A 27044-nucleotide genomic window follows, 5' to 3' on the forward strand; every position below is an offset into this window, starting at 1 on the left:
TGTATTTTTAGTAGAAACGGGGTTTCACCATGTTGGTCAGGCTGGTCTCAAACTCCCGATCTTAGATGATCTACCTGCCTGAGCCTGCCAAAGTGCTGGGATTACAGGTGTAAGCCACCACACCCGGCGGGAATAACAATTTTTAATTGTGGCCTTTCCTCCTTCCAACGTGACACCAAATACCAACTGTGTGGTTTGGACACCTTGCTCAATCTTTTGGTTCCTGGGTTTTTTTGTTTTTTGTTTGTTTGTTTTGTAAACAGGGATGAAGGTAGCTTCCGCCTCAGGATTTTGCATGTGGGTTATTTGAGAGTAGGATACTCCTAGATACAGTCAATACTGAACAAATTTGGTCATTTCGTACTCGTGATGTCCTTGGTCAAGGGCTCTCCTCTGGGCCGGTGGTGGTTGCAGAGAGAAGCCCCCGCCGCCGTCGCTCCTCGGGAAAGGAAGTCGCGGGTGAACAACCGAATATGCGATGAAAAGGGCAAAGTAAGAAAGCGCACAGCGGCCCCCGCCCCGTGGAGCGCTCCTTTGGTCCCAGGCGGGAGGCTTGCTGGAGCCCAGGAGCTGGAGGCTGCAGTGAGCCGTGTTCGCCCCACTGCACTCCAACCTGGGCGGCAGAAGAGCGAGACCTCGTCTCTAAAAAAACTCAAGAAACTAAAAAAAGAAAGCACATCTCTTCCAGCAGAAGGCTCCCGGAGGCCCGGGCTGAGGAGGAACTGGGAGAATGGGGCAGCAAAGAGAAAGGGAGAGCAGCTTTGCCTCTGAGGCGGCCTTGGCCATTTGCTGTAGGGCCTCGCTGCCTTCGCACTGGGGCCACCTGGGTGAAGTTTACCCTGGCTCCCGCCTGCTGCACCGTCACCTCCGGCCCCTCATTACGGAAATGAAGACCACTAAGGAGCATGAGCGTCGTAACCGCCCGCCTGGGGTTGACTTCTCTTGGGGTGATCAGCCACGTGACCCTAGCCACCCGCCTCCTTTACACTACGCCCCAGGATCCCCGGCGGCAGAGATAAAGAGCTGGACTTTAGACTCAGACGACCGCGCTCTTAAACCTTAGATGACCTCATCCCAGCCAGGTGATCTCGCAAGCTCCCGACGCTGTGCTCAGCTCCTGTCTCCTGCGCTTGGGTAAGCGCTTCTTAGCCCGGCCCCGCCAGGGTTACGCGGAGGATTGAATGGCACTCTTCCCACACTGTGCCTGGCGCGTCCAGGCTCGGTCACTTAAGGCTGCTTTCCTGAACCACCGCAGGTCCCTTTTCCCACAGCCGCTCGAGTCCCCGTCAGCAGCTTGCTTGCCCTCTCAGGACTTGTTTGCAGGGTGCTAAAATGGCACTGGGGCTGTGGTGGCTGGCAAAGCACCCTGCAAATATTAATCCCCTTTCCATCCCTAAAACTTTGAGACCCGCCATTTAGCCTTACGGGGCCCGGTTTCCTCCTCTAGAAGCTGAAGATAAGTGAGACACTTCCACATGAGGTTGTACATTTACTATTCATTCAGCCAGCCGTTTTTTTTTTTTGAAGTGCTGGGCACAGTGTGGTCTCAGGCAGGCCCTACCCATGTCCTCCTCTCTCTTTCCCCTGGCGGGTGTGCAGGCCCCTGGAGGTTCCCAGGGCTAGTCTAGGCACCAGAATGCTGCTCGGTGAGAAATCTCAGAGCAATGTGGAAGCTTCTAATAGAGCTGTATTTACTCAACCACAAGGGACTAGCCTTTATTCTGAAATTTCCTGTTTGTATCTAGTTGTTAAAATGTCCATTTCTTTTATGAAATGATGGTAACCAGGGCTGGGAGTTTTCTTTTTTCTTATTTATTTATTTTGAATTGAGACGAGGTTTCTCTATATTGCCCAGACTGGTCTCGAACTCCTGGGCTCAAGCAATCCCCCAGCCTCAGCCTCCCAAAGTGCTGGGATTACAGCCCTGGGCCACTGTGCCTGGCCGGGAGTTGATTTTCTAAATGTTCTTGGGTTACCGGGTGCAGTGGATCAGCCTGGCTCAGTGGCTCACGCCCCAGGTAATCCTAGCACTTTGGGAGGCGGGCGGATCACCTGCGGCCAGGAGACCAGACTGGCCAACATAGTGAAACCCCGTCTCTATTAAAAAATACAAAAATTAGGCGGGCGGGCCGGTGCTCACCTGTAGCCCCAGCTACTCGGGAACCCGAGGCAGGAGAATTGCTTGAACCCGGGAGACAGAGGTTGCAGTGAGCCGAGATGAGATCGCACCACTGCACTCAAGGCTGGGTTACGGAGTTTGACTCTGTTTCAAAAAAAAAAAATAAATAGATAAGTAAATAAATGTTATTTAGCAAAATTAAAAGTTGACAGGCAACTCCAGTGTGACAGGAAGGCTCTAGAATGGCCTTCCGCAGTCCCCTCCTCCTGATATTCAAGCCTTTGTATGATCCCCTCCCCTCCAGAGTGGCTGGGGCTGGTGACTTGCTTCTAAGAAACAGAATGTCGCAATAATGACTTCTGTGATTAGATTAGCAATGACTGTGACTTCCATCTTGCCAGCTGACTTTTGCTCTTCTTGGCTTGCACACTTTGATGAAACAAACTGCCACACTGAAAAAGCAGCCAGGCTGGGCGCGGTGGCCCACGCCTGTAATCTCAGCACTTTGGGAGGCCGAAGCGGGCGGATCATGAGGTCAGGGGTTCGAGACCAGCCTGGCCAACATAGTGAAACCCCATCTCTACTGAAAATACAAAAATTACCCGGGCATGGTGCCTGGCACCTGTAATCCCAGCTATTCGGGAGGCTGAGGCAGGAGAATCGCTTGAACCCAGGTGGCAGAGGTTGCAGTGAGCTGAGATCGAGCCATTGCACTCCAGCCTGGGCAACAGAGCAAAACTCCGTCTCAAAAAAAAAAAAAAAAAAGGTCAGCCAATGATGTAGTAAGGAGCTGGTGGTCTCTGACCAACAGCTAGGGGTACTGAGGGCCTCAATCCAACAGCCCTGGAGGAACTGAGTCCTGCCAACAGCCAGGTAAGCTGGAAGCAGGTGGTTCCCCAGTTGAACCTTAAGGCTACTTAAGGAACCTTAAGGCGCAGCATGTAAAATTTCAGGAGGCACTCACATGTAACAAGTGTGCCCTGACCCCACCCTGTGTGGCCAACACCCTGAATAGCACCTGTGAGATACCTGCAGTGGAGGAGCCAGTGAATCTGTGCCCACTGGGTTTTAGGGTAATTCATTATGCAGCAATAGATAACCAATACATCTGGGTATTTTTAAATGCTCTTGGTCTGTGGAATCCAAAAACCAACTCCTTTTCAGGAGGTCATGTGAGATGGTATCTTAAGGGTGATGAGGCAGCCCCAGGACAGACCTAGATTCCTTTTTGTTTGTTTGTTTTGAGATGAGATCTTGCTCTGCGCCTAGGTTGAAGTGCAGTGACAAAATCTCGGCTTAGAGCAGCCTCAACCTCCTGGGCTCGAGCGGTCCTCCCACCTCAGCCTCCCAAGTAGCTGGGACTACAGATGTGCACCACCACACACGGCTATTTTTTTCTTTTTTGTATTTTTTTCTTTTTTCTTTTTCTCTGGCTGTGTTGCCCAGACCTAGATTCTAATCTCAGACCCTCCTCTAGTTAGCTCAGTAGCCTTAGGCAAGTTACTTTGATTTCTCTGAGCCTCAAATTTCTCACACAGAAAAATGGGTATAATACTGATTTCCTAAATTAAATTATGCATGTGTAAACACCAATAATTACCATTTCTAGAGCATTCTTTTGTGTTACAGCCAATGTTAAATGCTTTACATGCATTATTGCATTTTATCCTCACAAACTTATGGGGTCAGTTCATTTATTACCCCCATTCTTCAGATAAGAAAACTGAGAAGGTACAGGCGTGGTGTGTGCCGGATACATTGTAGGCCTTGAATAAATTGTGTCATAAATAAAGAAAAAAAAGCAAGCCTTCCAATATGCGCTTTCCTACCTGTTACCACTAGGTGGCAGCAAAGACAGGCAGACGAGCCAGCCTTTGCGCTTAGCTGAAAATGTATTCCTAAAAATTAATTTGCTTATTTAGATGAAATTGTATTCCTGCATTATTTTTTATTTTTACTTTTTATTTTTGAGACGAAATTTCACTCTTGTTGCCCAGGCTGGAGTGCAATGGCGCCATCTCGTCTCACCACAACTTAACGCCCCCCGGGTTCAAGCGATTCTCCTGCCTCAGCCTCCCGAAAAGCTGGGATTACAGGCATGCGCCACCAAGCCCGGCTAATTTTTTTTTTTTTTTTTTTTTTTGTAGTTTTAGTGGAGACAGTGTTCCTCCATGTTGGCCAGGTTGGTCTTGAACTCAAACCTCCGACCTCAGGTGATCCGCCTGCCTCGGCCTCCCAAAGTGCTGGGATTACAGGCGTGAGCCACCACACCCGGCCTCCTGCGTTCTTTTACTAAGTATTTATGTGCCAAGTGATTTACAAGAACTAGTTATATTCTCGTCACAACCATATGTGAGATTTGCTATTACCAGTTTACAAAGGCGGAGACTGGGGCTGAGAGGTATGACTTCCTAAGGGCCACACAGCTAGAAAATGACATGAATTAAGTTAAACGTGTGGTATGAATACTTCTAAAAGTTTTCTATGCCAATATACCTGAGTTGCTGTATAGATATTTTTAGAGAAAAGGGGAGTAATGGGAGTAATTTTGTTTGTGTGTGTTTTTAGAATTCTGATCATACATATTATTCTTTTTTTTTTTTTTTTTTTTTTTTTTGAGACAGAGTCTCACTCTGTTGCCCAGGCTGGAGTGCAATGGCGCCATCTCTGCAACCTCCATCTCCCAGGTTCAAGCGGCGATTCTCGCGCCTCAGCCTCCCGAGTAGCTGGAATTACAGGCGAGCTACCACACCCAGCTAATTTTTGTATTTTTTCGTAGAGACGGGGCTTCACCATGTTGGCCAGGCTGGTCTCAAACTCCTGACCTCAAGTGATCCACCTGCCTCGGCCTCCCGAAGTGCTGGGATTACAGGCGTGAGCCACCGCGCCTGGCCCATTTTATTCTTTAATTTTCTTCTTTCACCTGCCAGTGAATCTTAGAAACATTTCCAAGGAATCCATTCTTTTTGGCATCTGTACAGTATTCTATAGTGTGGGTGGATCACAAAATGTCTAGGTAATAAACCCTCTGTGGCTAGTCATCTGAATTACTTCTAATTTTTTGCTTTTACCAAAAAACAAAGAAAAATGTTCCAGAAATATCCACAAACAGATGTCACTGTGATGGTGTTTCTGTCAGTAGACTCCCAGGCGTGTGACCCCTGGGTTGTGGGGTGTGTGTAGCTGGGGTTGGTAAAGATGCTGGTCACTCACAGGTGGGTTGTGCCCATTTTCATCCCACCCATGGTGCCGGACAGAGCCTGTTTCCTCATGGCTTGGCCAACCCTGGAGGTTATCAATGTTTATTATTTTTTTTTTTTTGCTAATTTATTAATAATATGAAAAAAGTTTTAGTAAACAATTTAGTAATAGACTAAGCTACCTTAAAACAAAATGAGCTTCACTCTTCCTTGCAGGTGATCAGTCATGAGTTTGCATGGGGCCGGGCACGGTGGCTCACACCTGTAATCCCAGAACTCTCGGAGGCCAAGGCAGGCAGATCACAAGGTCAGGAGTTCGAGACCAGCCTGGCCAGCATGGTGAAACCCCATCTCTACTAAAAATACAAAAAATTAGCTGGGCATGGTGGCACGTGCCTATAGTTCCAGCTACTTAGGAGGCTGAGGTAGGAGAATTGCTTGAACCCAGCAGGGAGAGGTTGCAGTGAGCTGAGATCGTGCCATTGCACTGCAGCCTGGGTGACAGGACAAGACTCCATCTCAAAAAGAAAAGTCCAGGTGAGGTGGCTCACGCCTATAATCCCAGCACTTTGGGAGGCCAAGGCAGGAGGATCACGAGGTCAGGAGTTTGAGACTAGCCTGACCAACATGGTGAAACCCTGTCTCTACTAAAAATATGAAAATTAGCCAGGCATGGTGGCACGTACCTGTAATCCCAGTTACCCAGGAGGCTGAGGCAGGAGAATCACTTGAGCCCGGGAGGTGGAGATTGCAAGTGAGCCGAGATCATGCCATCGCACTCCAGCCTGGGCAACAGAGTGAGACTCTGTCTCCAAAAAAAAAAAAAAAAAAAAAAAGAGTTTGCATGGCCAGGCTGGGTGCCATGGCTCATGCCTGTAATCCCAGCACTCTGGGAGGCCGAGGCGGGTAGATAACCTGAAGTCAGGAGTTCAAGACCAGCCTGGGCAACATGCTGAAACCCCCTCTCTACTAAAAATACAAAAATTAGCTGGACATGGTGGCACACACCTGCAATCCCAGCTACTCGGGAGGCTGAGGCAAGAGAATCGCTTGAACCCAGGAGGTGGAGGTTGCAGTGAGCTGAGATCTGGCCACTTTACTCCAGCCTGGGTAACAAAATGTTACTCCATCTCAGGAAAAAAAAAAAAAAAAAAAAAAAAAAAGAGTCTGCATGGCCAAGACAGTCTCTAGGGGGAGAGAGGAGTGAAGAAAATGTCTCAGGTCCTTTCCCGGCAGAGATCCCAGCTGAGTGTACCCCCCTCTGTCTGTGCCTGGGGCACACACACATTGCCACTTTTAAGGTTTTACTGTGCAAGCCCCATCATCACAATCTGACTAGAAGCCCCCTAAGTTACTACTGTGCTTTCACTGACATGAGAATTGTGCATGATTCATCCTGTAGGGCAGCGTGGATGGGGAAGGACTGGCCCACTGCCAGGGGGTGGGGAGGGTCACTTCTACTCCCCTGACACCATGCCACACCTTAGCTCATTGATTCCTCACTGTCCCTATCAGGTAAGAGCTATGATTTTCCCCATTTTACAGATGAGGAAACTGAGGCTTAGGGACGTGGAAGCACCCATTGGCATAAAAAGCATGGCATAGTGGGCAGTGCAGACCCAGGATAAGGTCAGAAAAACCAAACTAACTGGCATGGGGGGGTTGGAGGCACTCCTAGACCCACAAGGGATGCAGAAGCACCCCAGGCAGGGCCCAGAGGCGCCAGGTAGGACCCACAGCAGTGAGGCTGGCAAGGGTTTTCCCAGAGAGGGCAACCTGGGTGTTCTTGCCCCACCTCTCCTGGGGCTGCCGGTCCTGCCCCCAGGAACATGTTATCTGTGTCCTGGGGACAAAGCTGCAGATTCTCACCAGCTGAGGCCTTCCTGGCAGGTGGCGTCCAACCTTTGGACATGTAAACAGCCTTGGCCTGACCAGGGGTGGCCCAGCTTGGCCTTGGGGCCTGCAGACCTGTGCATGCCCAGGCAGGTGTGTGTGAATATGTTTAGGGCCATAAGGGTGTGTTTGGGTCTCCACACATCCACTTGGGATTGGATCTGGGGGCCAAGGACATCTCATTCATCTTGCTACCTCCCCATACCCTGGGGAATCCCCAGGTTACTTCCTAAAAGAGGACCAGGCTGGAACCAAGAAATCCCAGAAGAACCTGAGGACCAGAGAGGGGCTGACATGTGCCTAGGACCACACAGCAGACAGAGCCAGGTCCATAAATCGCTCTGCTGCAGACCCTGACCCTGCTGGTCCTACTGCCTCCCACCCACCACCTGCAGCTCCTCTTATCTCTGGGGCCCTGGAGCCTGCTGATTCCTGGGACAGGGCCCACCCTCCCTGGGGGGACCAGATGGACGGGACTGCAGGGCCTGCTCAGGCCTGATAAGGGACTTGGCTCAGGCCTTTATCAGTGGGACTTGGGGCTCCCGACAGGCATGTGTCCCCGTTTGGGAGAGGAAGCTGTGAAGAGAGGGTGCCCAGCCCCTGAGCAAAAGAGATAAAGGACAGAGACTTTTTAAAATACTTTTCTTTTTGTTTTTTAATCTGTATTGCTTTCTCTGATTACAAAGGCAATTCAGGCATGTTACAATTAATTAGAACATAACAAAAATAGACAGTATGGAAAGTGAAAGTGCCTGTAAATCTGCCTTCAGACATAATCCCCAGGCCTGGTTTGGGGTCATTTCTCCAGATTTCTTTCTACACATAAACATGGTCAATTAATTAATGAATTGGAATCATATAGAGCACAGTGTGGTGGCTCCTAGTGTGTCCCAGGTCCCAGTCATGTGGCTCCTCAGCTTCAAACCCAGACACATTACTTAATCTCTCTGAGCCTCAGTTTTCTCGTCTATAAAACCTCGCACGGATATTGTCGAGAGTAAAGAAAATTACACATGCCGGGCACTTCATGGACCTACACCCAGCTCAGTGAGCTCTTGATAAATGGCAACGTCACCAGTGTCATCACACAACCTGCCTTTATTTTTCACTTAACAACCTAATGTGTGTTTTTCTTTTAATTACAAAAAAAAAAAACAAAAAAAAAAACAAAAAAACAAGGACATCTTTCTATATTAGTGCCTAGAGATGTAGTAAACTCCTTTTGACAAATTCAGAACTTTCCTTGTATGGGTGAATCATCATTTTTTAAAAAATCAACTCTATTGCAGTATACTTTACATACAATCAAATGCACCCAGAAAATAGCACAGTTGAATGAGCTTTGGAAAATTATTTGGCCATGTAACCACTGCTACAGTGAAGTCTGGAACATTTCCGTTGTCCGGAAGATTCCTTCATTCCCCTTTGCAATTAATCTCCTGCCCCCACACCCAGACCCAGGCAACCACTGAACTGTTTCCTGTCCCTGTAGTGTAGATTTCCCTTTTGTAGAATATCGTAAATGAAATCACACAGCATGTGCCCTCTCGGGGAAGGCTTCGTCCACTTGGCATAATGCTTTTGAGATTTCTCCATGTTGTTGCTGTCGGGTCACCAGTAGCTCATGGCTTTGCTGTGCTAAAGAGTGCCCCATTGCAGGACATGCGATCTGTATCCCTTCACCTGCTGGGGGACATTTGGATGGTTTCCAGTGTAGGGCTACAAATCTCCTATTTTTAGAACCCCAATGAGGAAGGACATCAAGACTGTTTCTAGGCCGGGTGCGGTGGCTCACACCTATGATCCCAGCACTTTGGGAGGCCAAGGTGGGCGGCTCGCCTGAGGTGAGGAGGTCGAGACCAGCATAGCCAACATGGTGAAACCCTGTCTCTACTAAAAATACAAAAAAATTAGCCAGGTGTGGTGGGCACCTGTCATCCCAGCTACTCAAGAGGCTGAGGCAGGAGAATCGCTTGAACCTGGGAGGCAGAGGTTGCAGTGAGCCGAGATCGCGCCACCGTACTCCAGCCTGAGCGACAGAGCAAGGTTCCATCATAAAAAAGAAAATAAATTAAAAAAAGAAAAACAGACTGTTTCTAAATGTTTATTGTTAGCTTATAAAAAAAATACTGCAATCACTGGCTATGCAAATTTGCATGGACATTTTGTGGGAGGAGTGTCATGACACTAGAGGTACAACAGAAAAAAAAATTTTTTTTTTTTTGGCAGATCCAATTCTTTCTGAAGAAACAATTTTTTAAAGATTCTCCGCCGGGCACGGTGGCTCACGCCTGTAATCCCAGCACTTTGGGAGGCCAAGGTGGGTGGATCACGTGAGGTCAGGAGTTCGAGACCAGCCTGGCCAACATGGTGAAACCCCGTCTCTACGAAAAATATAAAAACTAGCCAGGCGTGGTGGTGGGCACCTCTAATCCCAGCTACTCGAGAGGCTGAGGCAGGAGAATTGCTTGAACCCAGGAGACGGAGGTTGCAGTGAGCTGACACAGTGCCACTGTACTCCAGCCTTGGTGACAGAGTGAGACTCCATCTTAAAAAAAAAAAAAAAAAAAAAAAGATTCTCCTTGGCCAGCCTGGCATGGTGGCTCACTCCTGTAATCCCAGCACTTTGGGAGGCTGAGGTGGGTGGATCACTTGAGTGTAGGAGTTCGAGACCAGCCTGGGCAACAAAGTGAAAATCCACTTCTTTTTTCTCTTTTTTTTTTTTTTTTTTTGAGACAGCGTTTCGCTCTCCTTGCCCAGACTGAGGTGCAGTGGTGCAATCTCGGCTCACTACAACATCCGCCTCCCGGGTTCAAGCGATTCTCCTGCCTCCACCCGGCTAATTTTGTATTTTTAGTAGAGACAGAGTTTCTCCATGTTGGTCAGGCTGGTCTTGAACTCCTGACCTTAGGTGATCTGCCCACCTTGGCCTCCCAAAGTGCTGGGATAACAGGCATGAGCCACCGCGCCCGGCCCTTTTTTGTTTTGTTTTGTTTTGTTTTGTTTTTTAGATGGAGTCTTGCTCTGTCACTCAAGCTGGAGTGTGGTGGCATGATCTCGGCTCACTGCAACCTCTGCCTCCTGGGTTCAGGTGATTCTCCCGTCTCAGCCTCCCAAGCAGCTGGGATTACAGGTGCCTGTCATTACACCCAGTTTATTTTTGTATTTTTACTAGAGAGGGGGTTTCAGCATGTTGGCCAGGTTGGTCTCAAACTCCTGACCTCAGGTGATCCACCCGCCTCGGCCCCCCACAGTGCTGGGGTTACAAGTGTGAGCCACCATGGCTAGCCACAAAAATCCATTTCTACAAAAAATACCAAAAAAAATTAGCTGGGTGTGGCCAGGCACGGTGGCTCACACCTGTAATCCCAGCACTTTGGGAAGCTGAGGTGGGTGGATCACCTGAGGTCAGGAGTTCTAGACCAGCCTGGCCAACATGGTGAAACCCTGTCTCTACTAAAAATACAAAAATTAGCCAGGAGTGGTGGCAGGCGCCTGTAATCCCAGCTACTTGGGGGAGCTGAGGCAGGAGAACCGCTTGAACCCAGGAGGCGGAGGTTGCAGTGAGCCGAGATAGCGCCATCACACTCCAGCCTGGGGAACAAGAGCAAGACTTCGTCTCAAAAAAAAAAAAAAAATTAGCTGGGTGTGATGGCGCACACCTGTAGTCCTAGCTGCTCAGGAGGCTGAGGTGGGAGGATTGCTTGAGCCCAGGAGGCGGAAGTTGCAGAGAGCAGAGATCACACCATGGCACTCCAGCCTGGGTGACAGAGCGAGACCCTGTCTCAAAAAAAGAAAAAAATTCTCCTTGTTCCAGCTGGAGACCCAAAGGCCCAGAGAAGGGAAGCAATGTGCCTAAGATCAAGCAATGAGTGAGTTTCCATGCAGAGGCCAGAACTCAGCTCAGCCTTTACCCATGCCTCCCCAAGCCCTTGCACAAAGCAGGGTGGGTTCTCCACAAAGAGTATCCCCAAATGATGCTCAAGACCTTGATGATGATGAGGGTGACAGTGTTCGCTACTGGTATTAAATGCTTACCCTATGCTCGGCAGTGTTCTAAGTTCTTTGCCTGGATCCACTCACTTTAATCCACACATATCCCAATGAAGGAGGTAAAATTACTATTCCCATTCTATAGATAAAGAAACTGAGGCACAGAGAGTTTAAGCATCTCACCTAAAATCACACAGCGAAGAAGAAGCAGAGCTGAGACTCATACAGGGTAGTCAGGCTCCAGTGCTGCAGAGTAAGGAAGAGTCTGTGAGTCCCTGCTGAGTAAGGAAAGTGACATGGCATGGTGGATGCAACCTGAATCAGATGCCAGGTGGCCAGGGAGTCTGTCCCCACCTTGCTGGGTAATGTGGTCAGTTCCCACCCTGGGACTCCCTTTACCTACCAAAAGGGAAAAGAGGCAGTTTAGCAAGAGGCTCTTAGGATCCTTTGGCAATGTGGTGTTTTGTTTTGTTTTGTTTTTTGAGACAGTCTCGTTTTGTCGCCCAGGATGGAGCACAATGGCATGATCTCAGCTCACTGCAACCTCCGCCTCCCGGGTTCAAGTGATTCTCCTGCCTCAGCCTCCCTTACCAGTAGCTGGGATTACAGGTGCCCGCGACCATGCCCGGCTAATTTTTTGTATTTTTAGCAGAGACAGGGTTTCACCATGTTGGCTAGGCTGGTCTCGAACTCCTGACCTCAAGTGATCTGCCCACCTCGGCCTCCTAAATTGCTGGGATTACAGGCATGAGCCACTGTGCCCGGCCTGGCAATGTGGTTCTACATGTATTTTCTTTCCTTTTTTTTTCCTTTTTTTCTTGCCCTTTGTGAACAAAGCTAGATGTATTTTTGTAGAGCTGAGCTGACAGGAGAAAAAGAGAGCTAGAGTTTGTGGCTTTACTCCTGAACTGGGTCAGGAGAGACGAGTGGTCTGGTGGCTTTTCTGGGATGGACATGGGAGGCCTGGACTCATCCTCAGTGGGCAAGGGATGTGGCCTCTGTCCCCTGGGACTGGCTCTCTTGTCATACTGTTTTTCACTGATGGCTTGGATGCCTGGTCCATGGAGTAGAGTGACAGCCTGTGCCCTCCACCTGAGGGCAACGTGTTCTCAGCCTCGCAGCCCCTCCTTCTCCAGGTCACCCATCTTCTCCTTCCCCTGGGCCCTGCATTCTGGACCCATGCCGAAAGTGCCCCGCCTCTCTCCAACTTCAGGGAAACCAAGTCCATGGCCCTGTTCTCAAATTTATACCAACTAAAAGACATACACAGCTGGGTGCTCACATATACAGGCTCACGCCTGTAATCCCAATACTTTGGGAGGCCAAGGCAGGAGGATCACATGAGGTCAGGAGTTTGAGACCAGCCTGGCCAACATGGTGAAACCCCATCTCTACTAAACATACAAAAGTTAGCTGGGCATGGTGGCACACACCTGTAATCCCAGTTACTCCAGAGGCTGAGGCAGGAGAATCACTTGAACCCGGGAGGCGGAGGTTACAGTGAGCCGAGATCACACCACTGCACTCCAGCCTGCACATCAGAGACAGACTCTGTATCAAAAAAAAAAAAAGACATATACTGGATACAACATGTATGGAGCACTGTTAGAATTTACATGAATTAGGCTGGGCATGGTGGGTAACGCCCATAATCTCAACATTTTGGGAAGCCAAGGTGGACAGATCTTGAGCTCAGGAGTTCAAGATCAGCCTGGGTAACATGGTGAGACCCCATTTCTATAAAAAATGCACACGTACAAAAATTAGCTGGGTATGGTGGTGTGTGCCTATAGTCCCAGCTACTCAGGGGGCTGAGGTGAAAGAATCACTTGAGCTTGGGAGGCAGAGGTTGCAGTGAGCCAAGATCACACCACTGCACTCCAGCCTGGGCGACAGAGCGAGACCCTGATTCAAAAAACAGAAACAAACAGAAAAAAGAATTTATATGAGTTAATATTCAATTCTCCTAAGGACCCTATAATGTAAATATCCTATTACACATTTTCCAGATGAGATATTTGAGGCCCAAAAAGGTTGAGCACTTTGCACCAGGTCACACAGCATCTATGGGACAAAGCCAGGATGTGGGTCCAGGCAGACTATTCCCCAGCCCATACTCTTAACCAACACACTATATTTCCTTCCCACTTATGGCACCCCAGAGCCCCTGACTCCTTCCCAATTCTGTCCTTCCTACAGTGTCAGCCCCTCTCCATCTGCTAGAGGCTGGAGTATAGTGATGCTGGTTTTTTTTTTTTCTTTTTTTTTTTGAGACAGAGTTTCGCTCTTGTTGCCCAGGCTGGAGTGCAATGGCACAATCTCGGTTCACCGTAACCTCCGCCTCCCGGGTTCAAGCAATTCTCCTGCCTCAGCCTCCCAAGTAGCTGGGATTATAGGCATGCACCACCATGCCTGGCTAATTTTCTATTTTTAGTAGAGATGAGGATTTCTCCATGTTAGTCAGGCTGGTCTCAAACTCCCGACCTCAGGTGATCTGCCTGCCTCAGCCTCCCAAAGTGCTGGGATTATAGGCGTGAGCCACAGCGCCTGGCTCAGTGTTACTGTTAATATTAAGAGCACAGGAGCCAGAGTTGACAGTCAGGTTCAAGTCCTAACTGCCACTCACTGGCTGTGTGTCTTTGAGCAAGCCTCAGAGCCTGTTTGCTCTTCTATAAAAAATGGGAACAACAGGATCCACCCCACAGGTTTATTGTGAAGATTAAATCAGTAGTGTAGACCACTGGCTCTCAAAGAACAGTCAGGAGACCTCTGAGGATCCCCAAGACTCTTTCAGGGGATCCATGAAGTCAAAATTATTTTCATAATAAGACTAAGATGTTATTTGCCTTTTTCACTCTCATTTTCTCTTGAGCGTATGGTGTTTTCTGGAGGCTACATGTCATGTGATATCACAACAGACTGAAAACAGAGGCAGATAGGAGAATCCAGCTGCCTGCTACGCAGCCAGACATTAAAGAAATCTGGAATAATGTTAAAAAAAGCTACCTTCACACTATTTTTTTTGTTTTTGAAAATGTGGTTATTTTTCATAAAATAGATGGTTTATGTTAATGTGTAGTGTCTGCTGTTACTTTTACATTAATTAATATTTATACAATTTTCTCAAATTTTTTTTTTTCTTGAGACACAGCCTCACTGTAGCCCAGGCGGGAGTGCAGTGGTGCCATCTTGGCTTACTGCAACCTCCACCTCCCGGATTCAAGTAATTCTCCTGCCTCAGCCTCCCGAGTATCTGGGATTACAGTTGCATATGCCACCACTCCCAGCTAACTTTTATATTTTCAGTCGACACAGGGTTTCACATTGTTGGCCAGACTGGTCTTGAACTCCTGACCTCAAGTGTTCCACCCTCCTCGGCCTCCCAAAGTGCTGGGATTACAGGCATGAGCCACTGTGCCCAGCCCTCAGCTTTAATTTCTAATACAGTCAGTACTGATAGATATAACCCACATGAACAAAAACTCTTTGGGGTCCTCAATAATTTTGAAGAGTATAAAGAGGTTCCAAGACTGAAAAGTTTGAGAACTGCTAAATGAGTGCAAGGTTCTGGCTACACATGTGGAAGAAAGCACCCCTGATCTTGGGCTCCCTAAAATGCATCAATCCCTTATTCCCTGGCTGTGTCTCCCCTCCTCTGCCTGCCCTGCTGGAGGAAGTTGCTAAACCGCAGGTGGCTGCACAATGGCCACGATGGTGGCTGTTCAGTGACCCTGGACTAGACACTGGGATGCTCTGAGCTTCCTGTTTGTTCACCTGAAGGACCAGCATGATCAGCCAAGCAGATTTCTCAGCCACCTTGAACTGTCGACATGTGGAGAAAATGCGAACAATAAATCCTAAATCTGGTGTGTTAGGCTGTTTTTGCATCGCTATAAAGAAATACCTAGCCGGGCGCGGTGCCTCATGCCTGTAATCCTAGCACTTTGGGAGGCTGATGCGGGCAGATCACCTGAGGTTGGGAGTTCGAGACCAGCCTGACCAACATGAAGAAACCTCGTCTTTACCAAAAATACAAAATTAGCCGGACATCGTGGCACATGCCTGTAATCCCAGCTACTTGGGAGACTGAGGCAGGAGAATTGCTTGAACCCAGGAGGCAGAGGTTGCGATGAGCCAAGATCGTGCCATTGCACTCAAGCATGGGCAACAAGAGTGAAACTGTAAAAAAAAAAAAAAAAAAAAAAAAAAAAAAAAAAAAGAGGGAGAGAAGAAAGAAAGAAAGAAGAAAAGAAAAGAAGGAAAGAAAGACCTGAGGTTGGCTAATTTATTTTAAAAATAGGCCAGGCATGGTGGATCAGACCTGTAATCCCAGGACTTTGGGAGGCAGAGGCAGGCGGATCACTTGAGGCCAGGAGTTTGAGATCAGACTAGCCAACACGGTGAAACTCCACCTCTACTAAACACATGAAAATCAGCCAGGCATGGTGGCATGCACCTGTGGTCCCAGCTACTCAGGAGGCTAAAGCTAGAGAATTGCTTGTGCCCAGGAGGCAGAGGTTGCAGTGAGCCAAGATCACGCTACTGCACTCCAGCCTGGGCGACAGAGCAAGACTCTGTCTCAAAAAAAAAAAAAAAAAAAAAATCAGGTTTAATTGCCCACAGTTCTGTGGGCTGTACAAGAAACATAGTGCCGGCATTTGCTTCTGTGAAGCCTCAGGAAACTTACAGTCATGGTGGAAGGGGAAGGGGAAGCAGGTGCCTCACATGGTAAGAGTATGAGAGAGACAGAAAAAGGGAAGGTCCCAGACTCTTTTATTTACGTATTTATTTATCTATTTTTATTGTATTTTATTTTATTTTATTTTTGAGATGGAGTCTCACTCTGTCATGCAGGCTGGAGTGCAGTGGTGCAATATCAGCTCACTGCAGCCTCTGCCTCCCAAGTTCAAGGGATTCTCCTGCCTCAGCCTCCCGAGTAGCCAGGATTACAGGCACCCGCCACCATGCCCAGCTTTTTTTTTTTTTTTTTTTTTTTTGTATTTTTACTGGAGATGGAGTTTCACCATATTGGCCAGGCCAGTCTCGAGCTCCTGACCTCAGGTAATCCACCTGCCTCGGCCTCCCAAAGTGCTGGGATTATAGGCGTGAGCCACCACACCCGGCCCTTATTTATTTATTTATTTAGACAGAGTCTCACTCTGTCACCCAGGCTGAAGTGCACTGGCACGATCTCAGCTCACTGCAACCTCCATCTCCTGGGTTCAAGCGATTCTTGTGCCTCGGCCTCCCAAGTAGCTGGGACTGCAGGCACACACCACCATGCCTGGCTAATTTTTGTGTTTTTTTTAGTAGAGACGGGGTTCTACCATGTTGGCCAGGCTGGTCTCGAACTCCTGACCTCAAGTGATTTGCCTGCCTTGGCCTCCCATAGTGCTGAGATTATAGGCGTGAGCCACCGCCCCCAGCCCCAGACTGTTTTAAACAAACAGATCTTGCATGAACTGAGTGAGAATTCACTCCTTACCAAAAGGATGATGCTAAGCCATTCATGAGAAATCTACCCCCATGATCTAATTACTTCCCACCAGGCCCCACCTCCAACATTGGGAATCACATTTCAACATGAGATTTGGAAGGGATAAATATCTATATCATTCCACTGCTGGCCTCCCAAATCTCATGCCCTTCTCACATTTCAAAATACAATCATGCCTTTGCAATAGTACCCCAAAGTTGTTCCAGCCTTAACTCAAAACTTGTTCCAGCCTTAACTCAAAAGTCCCAAACTCCAAAATCCAAAGTCTCATTTGAGACTCAAAGTCAAGTTCCTTCCACCTATGAGACGGTACAGGCATTGGGTAATCCTTCTTGTTACAAGAGGGAGAAATTGGCCAAAAGAAAGAGGTAATAGTCCCCACACAAGTCTGAAACCCAGCACGGTGGGCATTAAATCTTAAAGCTCCAAAATAATCCTTGACTCCATGTCCCAGATCCTGGTGTGAGGGATTGGTTTCTAAAGCCTTGGGCAGCCCCACCCCGTGGCTTTCCTGGGCATAGCCCATGTGGTTGCTCTTGTGGGTTGAAGTTGAATGCCTGTGGCTTTTCCATGCTGAAGTGGGTCTACAATTCTGGGGTCTGGAGGGCGGTGGCCCCCTTCCTGCAGCTCCAGTAGGCAGTGCCCTGTTGGGGACTCTGTATGGGGGCTCCAACCCCACATTTCCACTCAGCATTGCCCAAGTAGAGTTTCTCTGTGGGGGCTCCACCCCTGCAGCAGGCTTCTGCCTGGGTACCCTGGCTTTTCTATACATCCTCTGAAATCTAGGAGGAAGCTGCCAAGCCTCCTTCACTCTTGCATTCTGTGCATCTGCAGGCTTAACAGCATGTAGAAGCCACCAAGGCTTATGGCTTGTGCCTTCTGAAGTGGCAGCCCAAGCTGTACCTGGGGCCCTTTGAGTCATGGCTGGAGCTGAAGCAGTGGGCATGAGGGGAGCAGCCTCTGGAGGTGGTGCAGGGCATTGGTGCCCTGAGCCTGGCCCAGAAAACCATTCTTTCCTCCTCCTTCTAGGCCTATGGACCTGTGATGGAAGGGGCTTTCCAAAAACCTTCTGAAATGGCTTTGAGGCCTCTTTCCCATTGTCTTGGATATTAACACCTGGCTGCCTTTTAGTCATGTTGATCTCTGTAGCAAGTGGTTACTCCACAGCCTACTTGGATTCTTTCTCCACCACTGGGCCAGGCTGCAAATTTTTCGAACTTTTATGCTCTACTCTTCTTTTAAAAATAAATTCCAACTTTGTTATTTCTTTGTTCCCATATCTCATTTAGATTATTAGAAGTGGCCAGACCACATCTTGAATGCTTTGCTGCTTAGCAATTTCTTCCACCAGATACCAGAGGTCGTCACCCTTAAGTTCAAACTTCCAAAGAGCCCTCAGACATGGACACAATGCTCCAAGTTCTTTGTTAGGTCATAAAACGGGTGTCCTTTACTCCAGTTCCTAATAACCTCCTCATTTCTTTGCTTTTTTTTTTTTTTTTTTTTTAGTTTTGCTGTTGTCGCCCAGGCTGGAGTGCAGTGGCACGATCTCGGCTCACTGCAGCCTCCACCTCCCAGGTTCAAGTGATTCTCATGCCTCAGCCTCCCTAGTAGCTAGGATTACAGGCACGCACTACCATGCCCGGCTAATTTTTGTATTTTTAGTAGAGATGGGGGTTTCACCATGTTGGCCAGCCTGGTCTCAAACTCCTGACCTCAGGTGATCTGCCCACCTCAGCCTCCCAAAGTGCTGGGATTACAGGCATGAGCCACTGTGCCCTGCCTAACTTCCTCATTTCTATCTTAGACCTTGTCAGCCTGGCCTTCACTGTCCATGTTACTATCAGCATTTTGGTCAAAATCATTTGTCTTCTCATCTTCTTGTCTTCTTCTGAGCCCTCCAAATTCTTTCAACTTCAGCCTGTTACCCAATTCCAAAGTCACTTCCACATTTTCAGATATCTTTATAGTAACACCCTACTCCTGGTACCAATTTTCTGGGGTTTTTTTTGTTTGTTTGTTTTTTGTTTTTTGTTTTTTGTTTTTTTGTTTTTTTTTTTTTGACATGGAGTTTCACTCTTGTTGCCCAGGCTGGAGTGCAATGGCATGATCTTGGCTCTCTGCACCCTCCACCTTCTGGGTTCAAGTGATTCTCCTGCCTCAGCCTCCCGAGTAGCTGGGATTACAGGTGTGAGCCCCCACGCCTGGCCTCTGGTATCAATTTTCTGTGTTAAGCCATTGTCATATTGCTATAAATAAATACCTGAGGCTGAGTAATTTATAAAGAAAAGAGTATTAATTGGCTCACAATTCTGCAGGCTGTACAAGAAGCATAATGCCAGCAACTCCTTCTGGTGAGGCCTCAGGAAGCTTACAATCATGGTGGAAGGCAAAGGGGGAGCAGGTACATCACAGGGCAAGAGTGGGAGCATGAGAGAGAAGGGGGAGGTCCCAGACTCTTTGAAACAACCAGATCTTACATGAACTAAGAGGATGGTGCTAATCCATTCATGAGGCATCTGCCTCCATGATCCAATCACTTTTCATGAGGCCCCACATCCAACATTGGGAATTATATTTCAATATGAGATTTGGCAGGGACAAACGTTCATACCATATCATTTGGGGAGGTGAGATTCACTCTAGGCTGGTCAAGAAATAGTAGAGAAATAGTACATACATATAGAAAAAGCTTCACATTGGGGTCACCTGGGCTGGGCTTCTAGCCCCTGCAAACTCTCTGTGAGGCAAGGCCTGCAGCCTCACAGCACCTCAGTTATCACATCTGTGAAATGGGTGGGTTGAACTCTTGCTTGACGGTGTTCTTGCTAGAAGTGGAAAATCTCTAGGCATCCAGGCCTCCTTTTCCTTTCTCTTCTTACCTGGAAGGCAGCAAGAGGTGGTGGGGAGAACACTAAACAGGGGAAAGGACTAAACTGGGAGCTGTGCAGCCTCATTCTGGCTCTGCCAACATCCTGGGTGACCTCAAGCAAGTTCCTCTTTCTCTCTGAGCCTTGGCTCCCAGGAATTTGAAACATGCACAGCCTGGTCGAGCTCAGAGCTGGCTTCTGCCTGCCCTTAAAATCTGATGGCTGGTCAGGGATTCAGTATTCATTGGATTCTCAGGGCCTCATGTGCTAGGCTGAAATGCTATCCCCATACCTCCTTGTTCCTTGTCAGAGGGCCAGACTGTACACTATTCACTCAACAAATCTTTATTCAGTACCTCCTATTTCCAGGCCACAGGGCAGACTGGAGCCCAGAAGAGAGAAAAAACAGGTATTCTCAATTATCTATATTCCATGCCACTTAATCAGGATTCCATAAATATTCACTTGGAGTTCAGAGCTAAGCTGTGGAAAAGAAAGGAGTCAAGTGTAGACTTTTTCCTAAGAGGAGCTTGAGACCTCAAGAAGAGAAGGCATTTGTTCATTCATTCACTCACTCACTCTTTCATTCATTGAACAAATACTTATTGAGCACTTACTCTGTACTCGGCCCTGTGATTTGTACAAAACAGACACAGGCTCTGTTCTCAAAGAAAATTCAGTCTAGGCCCGGCACGGTGGCTCATGCCTGTAATCCCAGGACTTTGGGAAGCTGAGGCAGGTGGATCACCTGAGTTCAGGAGTTCGAGACCAGCCTGGCCAACATGGTGAAACCCGGTCTCTACTAAAAATACAAAAAATTAGCCAGTTGTGGTGGCGCACACCTGCAATCCCAGCTACTCAGGAGGCTGAGGCAAGAGAATCGCTTGAACCTGGAAGGCAGAGGTTGCAGTGAGCAGAGATCGTGCCACTGTACTCCGGCCTGGGCAACAAGAATGAAACTCTGTCTCAAAAAAAAGAAATTTCAGTCTAGTGGAAGAAGCAGACCTGAAAGAGATAAACACACCATTACAAATATTATTACACATTGTGATGGCTTACATTTTAAAAATGGTATGAGAGGCTGGGCACAGTGGCTCATGCCTGTAATCCCAGCACTTTGGGAGGCCGAGGCAGGTGGATCACTTGAGCCCAGGAGTTTGAGAACAGCTTGGGCAACATGACGAGACCCTGTCTGTAGAAAAAACAAAAATTAGCTGAGACCGGGAAGAGTGGCTCACACCTGTAATCCCAGAACTTTGGGAAGCCAAGGAGGGTGGATTCCTTGAGGTCAGGAGTTCAAGACCAGCCTGGCCAACATTGTGAAACCCTGTCTTTGTGAAGAAAAAAAAATAAACACAAGGTCTCACTCTGTTCCCCAGGCTGGAGTGTAGTAACACCATCATGGCCTCCTGCAGCCTTGACCTCCTGGGCTCAAGCAATCCTCCCACCTCAACCTCCAGAGTAGCTGGAACTACAGATGTGTGCCATGACACCTGGATAATTTTGTAATTTTTTTTTTTTTTTTTTGAGACAGAGTTTCACACTTGTCACTCAGACTGGAGTGCAATGGTACAATCTCGGCTTACCACAACCTCTGCTTCCTGGGTTCAAGTGATTCTCCCGCCTCAACCTCCCGAGCGATTGGGATTACAGGCATGGGCCACCACGCCCAGCTGATTTTGTATTTTTAGTAGAGACAGGGTTTCTCCATATTGCTCAGGCTGGTCTTGAACTCCCTACCTCAGGTGATCTGCCCACCTCGGCCTCCCAAAGTGCTGGGATTACAGGCATGGGCCACTATGCCTGGCTAATTTTGTAATTTTTTTATAGATATGGGGTCTCTCTGTGTTGCCAAAGCTGGTCTCCCACCCTTAGCCTCAAGCTATCCTCCCGCTTTGGCCTCCCAAAGCTCTGGGATTACAGACGTGAGCCACTGTGCCCAGCCAGAGAAATTTATTTTCTTACAATTCTGGAGGCCTGAAGTCAAAATCCGTATCACTGGGCCAAAAAAATTAGTTGTTGCTTTTTTTTTTTTTGAGACGGAGTTTTGCTCTTGTTGCCCAGGCTGGAGTGCAATGGCACGATCTTGGCTCACCGCAACCTCCGCCTCCCAGGTTCAATGATTCTCCTGCCTCAGCCTACCAAGTAGCTGCGATTACAGGCATGTGCCACCATGCCCAGCTAATGTTGTATTTTATTAACAGAGACAGGGTTTCTCCATGTTGGTCAGGTTGGTCTCGAACTCCTGACCTCAGGTGATCCGCCTGCCTCTGCCTTCCAAAGTGCTGGGATTACAGGCATGAGCCACCACACCCAGCCAATTTTTTTTTTTGTTTTGAGAAGGAGTCTCACTCTGTGGCCCAGGCTGGCGTGCAGTGGCACAATCTTGACTTACTGCAACCTCTGCTTCCCAGGTTCAAGTGATTCTCCCACCTCAGCCTCTCAAGCAGCTGGGATTGTAGGCACCCACCATCACGCTCGGCTAATTTTTATATTTTTAGTAGAGATGGGCTTTCACCATGTTGGCCAGGCTGGTCTTAAACGCCTGACCTCAGGTGATCTGCCTGCCTTGACCTCCCAAAGTGCTGGGATTACAGGCATGAGCCACTGCAACTGGCCACTGGGCCAAAATTAAGGTGGTAGCAGAGCTTCCCTCCCTCCGGAGGCTCTAGAGGAGAATCTGTTCCTTGCCTCTTCAGCTTCTGGTGGCTGCTGGCATTCCTTGGCTTGTGGTCACATCGCTGCATTCTTCAAAGCTAGCACATCTTCAAATCTGTCTGCTTTGTGTTCACATTGTCTTCTCTTCTGTGAGTGTCACATCTCTCTCTGCCTCCTGCTTAGAAGGTTACATGTGAATGCATTTAGGGCCCACCCTGATAACCCAGGATAACCTCCCCATCTCAAGGTCCTTCCTCACATCCACAAATGTTACCCTTTATCCAAAGAATGTAACATTCTTAAGTTCCAGGAATTAGGGCCTGATATCTATATGGGGCTATTTCTCAGCCTACTACAGTAGGTTACCTCAGTGTCTGTTTGGGGGAGCTTCATTTAAACTGGGGATGGTCAGAGAAGGCCTCTCCAAAAAAGAGATGCTGTCCACGAGATGGAAAGGATGACTAGGAGTTCGCCTGGGGAAGACTGGGGAAGAGTGTGCTAGAGAGAGGGAATGGTGTGTGTAAAGCCCAAGGTGAGAAAGCCTGCCATGTGGCCAGGAGGGCCAGCAATGGGATCAACAGAGAAAGATGAGCTGGGACCTGAGAACCAGGAAGCCACATTAGGGACTTTTGTCTTTAAGAATAAGTTAAAGGCTGGGCACGGTGGCTCACACCTATAATCCCAGCACTGTGGGAGGCCAAGGCGGGCGGAGCACCTGAGGTCAGGCGTTTGAGACCAGCCTGGCCAACATGGCTTAACCCCTGCTCTACTAAAAATACAAAAATTAGTGGGGCATGGTGGTACATGCCTGTAATCCCAGCTACTCGGGGGGCTGAGCCATTGCGCTCCAGCCTGGGCGACAGATCAAGACTCCATCTCAAAAAAAAAAAAAAAAAAGAGAAGTTAGAGCCAAATAATAAGTAAATAAGAGCCACCAGAGTCAGACACGGTGGCTCATGCCCATAATCCCAGCCCCTCGGGAGGCCGAGGTGAGAGCATCACTTGAGCCCAGGATGAAACAGTTCAAGACCAGCCTGGGCAACATAGTGAGACCCCATCCACAAAAAAAAATTTTTTTATTAGTTGGGCATGATGGTGCATGCCTATAATCCCAGCTACTCTCGGGAGGCTGAGGCAGGAGGATGGCTTGAGCCTAGGAGTTCAAGGCTGCAGTGAGCTATGATCACACCACTACACTCCAGCTTGGGTAAAAGAGCCACTGAAGGTTCTGGCATAGGGGAGGACAACATGGTCTCATATATTTGTTTGTTTGTTTGAGACGGAGTTTCACTCTTGTTGCCCAGGCTGGAGTGCAACCGCAGGATCTCGGCTCACAGCAACCTCCACCTCCCAGGTTAAGCGGTTCTCTTGCCTCAGCCTCCTGAGTAGCTGGGATTACAGGCGCCTGCCACCACACCTGGCTAATTTTTTGTATTTTTAGTAGAGATGGTGTTTCACCATGTTGGTCAGGCTGCTCTCAAATACCTGACTTCACGTGATCCAGCTGCCTTGGCCTCCCAAAGTGCTGGGATTACAGACATGAGCCACCACATCCGGCCTAGTTTTGTATTTATAATTTTGCATTTTACTTTCTTTTTCTTTTTCTTTTTTTTGTTTTTTTGAGGAGTCTCGCTCTGTTGCCAGGCTGGAGTGCAGTGGCACAATCTCAGCTCACTGCAACCTCCGCCTCCCGGTTTCAAGTGTCTCCTGCCTCAGCCTCCCAAGTAGCTGGGACTACAGGTGCACGCTGCCACGCCCGGCTAATTTTTGTATTTTTAGTAGAGACGGGGTTTCACCATGTTGGCCAGGATGGTCTCGATCTCTTGACCTCATGATCCACCCACCTCGGCCTCCCAAAGTGCTGGGATGACAAGTGTGAGCCACCGTGCCTGGCCTTACTTTCTTTTCTTAAAGAAGGCTCCTGAGCTTGTGTGAACTTTAGGCCTCACCAAACCAACACCTGTTAGCCCAGTAGCATTAACTATTTTAATTTGCCCAATGAAGGACTGAGAAGAGCGTGTTGCTAGCAGCCTTGCCTAGTCTGGAGCCAGTGCGTGAACACAACCAGAAGGTATCGGGAACCCTTTCTCTTCCCACTCCCACACTGAGCTCCATGAGCGCAGGAACTTCTTCTTGTCCTTTTCTAGGCACTCATCACAGCACCTGGCATATGGCAGGCCTTCAGTCCAAAGATGGTAAGTGAATGAACTTGCGATGTACAAATGAAGGCTGCTGCTTGGTTTCTGGGAGTCGGGAGTTGGGGAACACACTTAAAGGCACTACGGCACATGAGTTGGCTGACCTGAGCTGTCTCAGGAGTTCCTGTATGGGGCTGACCCTAGACCAATGCCCCAGGGGCTGATGAGGGAGTGAGGGAGGGAGGACAAGATAAGACAGCCTTGGCTGATGAGCAGGAGAACGTGTGCTTCCCTCATCACTAAGCCACAGAATCACCTCTCAGAGATTTTTCTGGTAAGGGTTCCTGACCACATGTCAGTGGGACCTAAGCAAGGGTTTCCTCTATCCCCTGACCTTCAGCTGAACCTCAAATCCTGGTAGGCCACCCTTTGGTTCTCAGGGGTACAGGATGGACAGAGAGCAAAGCACTCAGCAAGTGAAGTGGGAGGAGACACAGTTTACACAACTTTCTGGGTGTCAGATTCCGGGATATGTGTAACTTTAGGCAAATTGCTTTACCTTTCTGAACCTCGGCTTCCACATCTGTGAAATGGAGCAATAAAAGTTTCTGCTTCACAAGGTTGTGATGAGAATTAAGTGGAAAGAGACCGGTAAAGCAGTTAGCAAAAGGCTTGGCACATAGTAAGTGCCTGATAAGTATTGATTATTAAGACCGGGCACAAGGCCAGGCGCGGTGGCTCACGCCTGTAATCCCAGCACTTTGGGAGGCCGAGGTGGGTGGATCACGAGGTCAGGAGATCGAGACCATCCTGGCTAACACGGTGAAACCCCGTCTCTACTAAAAATACAAAAATTAGCCGGCTGTGGTAGTGGGCGCACCTGTAGTCCCAGCTACTTGGGAGGCTGAGGCAGGAGAATGGCGTGAACCTGGGAGGCGGAGCTTGCAGTGAGCCAAAATTGCGCCACTGCACTCCAGCCTGGGCGACAGAGCAAGACTCTGTCTCAAAAAAAAAAAAAAAAAAAGACCAGGCACAATTGGCTGGGTTTGGTGGCTCACCCCTGTAATCCCAGAACTTTGGGAGGCCGAGGCAGACAGATCACCTGAGGTCAGGAATTCGAGACCAGCCTGGCCAACATGGTGAAACTCCGTCTCTACCAAAAAATACAAAAATGAGCCAGGCATGGTGGTGCACACCTGTAGTCCCAGCTACTGGGGAGGCTAAGGTGGGAGAATTACTTGAACCTGGAAGGCAGAGGTTGCAGTGAGCTGAGGTTGTGCCACTGCACTCCAGCCTGGGCAATGGAGTGAGACTCCGTCTCAAAAAATAAAATAAAATTAAATTAAATTAAATTAAGTTAAATTAAATAAATAAAATGGACTTCCCTTATGTCAGTTCCCAATTTCTTTTTCCCTGACATTTCATTGGTCTCTGAAGTCTTGTTGTCCAATAACAATCTACCATTCTTGTCCAACCACCTCATTTTATTTATATTATTATTATTATTATTATGAGTCAGGGTCTTGCTCTGTCGCCCAGGCTGGTGTGCAGTGGCACCATCTCAGCTCACCACAACCTCTGCCTCCCGGATTCAAGTGATTCTCATGCCTCAGCCTCCCAAGTAGCTGGGATTACAGGCATACACCACCAACCCTGGCTAAATTTTTTGTATTTTTAGTAGAGATGGGGTTTCACCATGTTGGCCAGGCTGGTCTCAAACTCCTGACATCAAGTGATCTGCCCACCTCAGCCTCCCAAAGAGCTAGGATTATAGGTGTGAGCCACCACGCCTGCTTGCTTGCTTTATTTATTTATTTATTTATTTATTTATTATTTTTGAGACAGAGTCTCACTCTGTTGCCTAGGCTGGAGTGCAGTGGTACGATCTCAGCTCACTGCAACCTCTGCCTCCCAGGATCAAGCAATTCTCCTGCCTCAGCCTCCCGAGTAGCTGGAATTACAGGTACGTGATCCCACGCCTGGCTAATTTTTGTATTTTTAGTGGAGATGGGGTTTCACCTTTTTGGCGAGGCTGGTCTTGAACTCCTGCCCTCAGGCGATCTGCCCACCTTAGCCTCCTAAAATGCTGGGATTACAGGCATCAGCCACTATGCCTGGCCTATTTATTATATTTATTTATTTATTTTTATTTATTTATTTTTTGAGATGAAGTCTCACTCTGTCACCCAGGCTGGAGTGCAGTGGCATGATTTCAGCTCACTGCAACCTCCGCCTCCCAGGTTCAAACGATTCTCCTGCCTCAGCCTCCTGAGTACCTGGGACTACAGGCATGTACTACCACTCCCGGCTAATTTTTTTGTATTTTTAGTAGAGATGGGTCTTGGCTAGGCTGGTCTCGAACTCCTGACTTCGTGATCCGCCCACCTCAGTCTTATTTATTATTATTATTATTTTTTCTTTTTTTGAGATGGAGTCTCGCTGTGTCGCCAGGCTGCAGTGCAGTGGCGTGATCTCAGCTCACTGCAATCTCCGCCTCCCGGGTTCAAGCGATTCTCCTGCCTCAGCACCCTGAGTAGCTGGGACTACAGGCGCTTGCCACCATGTCCACCTAATTTTTATATTTTTAGTAGAGACGGGGTTTCAATATGTTGGCCAGGATGGTCTCGATCTCTTGACCTTGTGATCTGCCCACCTCAGCCTCCCAAAGTGCTGGGA

The 27044-nt window shown here is 48.4% G+C and overlaps 6 annotated features.

Moving 5' to 3' along the window:
• Window positions 794-1456: an enhancer, noted in NCBI's record as "H3K4me1 hESC enhancer chr5:154026765-154027427 (GRCh37/hg19 assembly coordinates)". NCBI's record gives its function as "activates a minimal SCP1, AML or CMV promoter by ChIP-STARR-seq in primed H9 embryonic stem cells {active_cell/tissue: H9 hESC(primed)}" and the evidence as "EXISTENCE:reporter gene assay evidence [ECO:0000049][PMID:30033119]".
• Window positions 1118-1227: an enhancer, noted in NCBI's record as "active region_23481". NCBI's record gives its function as "activates an Ori minimal core promoter by ATAC-STARR-seq in GM12878 lymphoblastoid cells {active_cell/tissue: GM12878}" and the evidence as "EXISTENCE:reporter gene assay evidence [ECO:0000049][PMID:35858748]".
• Window positions 7058-7352: an enhancer, noted in NCBI's record as "tiled region #10572; HepG2 Activating DNase matched - State 5:Enh". NCBI's record gives its function as "activates a minimal TATA promoter and a strong SV40 promoter by Sharpr-MPRA in HepG2 cells {active_cell/tissue: HepG2}" and the evidence as "EXISTENCE:reporter gene assay evidence [ECO:0000049][PMID:27701403]".
• Window positions 7058-7352: a silencer, noted in NCBI's record as "tiled region #10572; K562 Repressive non-DNase unmatched - State 8:EnhW". NCBI's record gives its function as "represses a minimal TATA promoter and a strong SV40 promoter by Sharpr-MPRA in K562 cells {active_cell/tissue: K562}" and the evidence as "EXISTENCE:reporter gene assay evidence [ECO:0000049][PMID:27701403]".
• Window positions 7058-8010: a biological region, named in NCBI's record as "CRISPRi-validated cis-regulatory element chr5.4044". NCBI's record gives its function as "regulatory_interactions: LARP1".
• Window positions 7214-8010: a transcriptional cis regulatory region, noted in NCBI's record as "candidate enhancer chr5.4044 targeted for multiplex CRISPR interference". NCBI's record gives its function as "positively regulates LARP1 gene expression in K562 cells {active_cell/tissue: K562}" and the evidence as "EXISTENCE:mutant phenotype evidence [ECO:0000015][PMID:30612741]".

The sequence above is a fragment of the Homo sapiens genome, chromosome 5 (assembly GCF_000001405.40).
Source record: "Homo sapiens chromosome 5, GRCh38.p14 Primary Assembly".
Taxonomy (NCBI): Eukaryota; Metazoa; Chordata; class Mammalia; order Primates; family Hominidae; genus Homo; species Homo sapiens.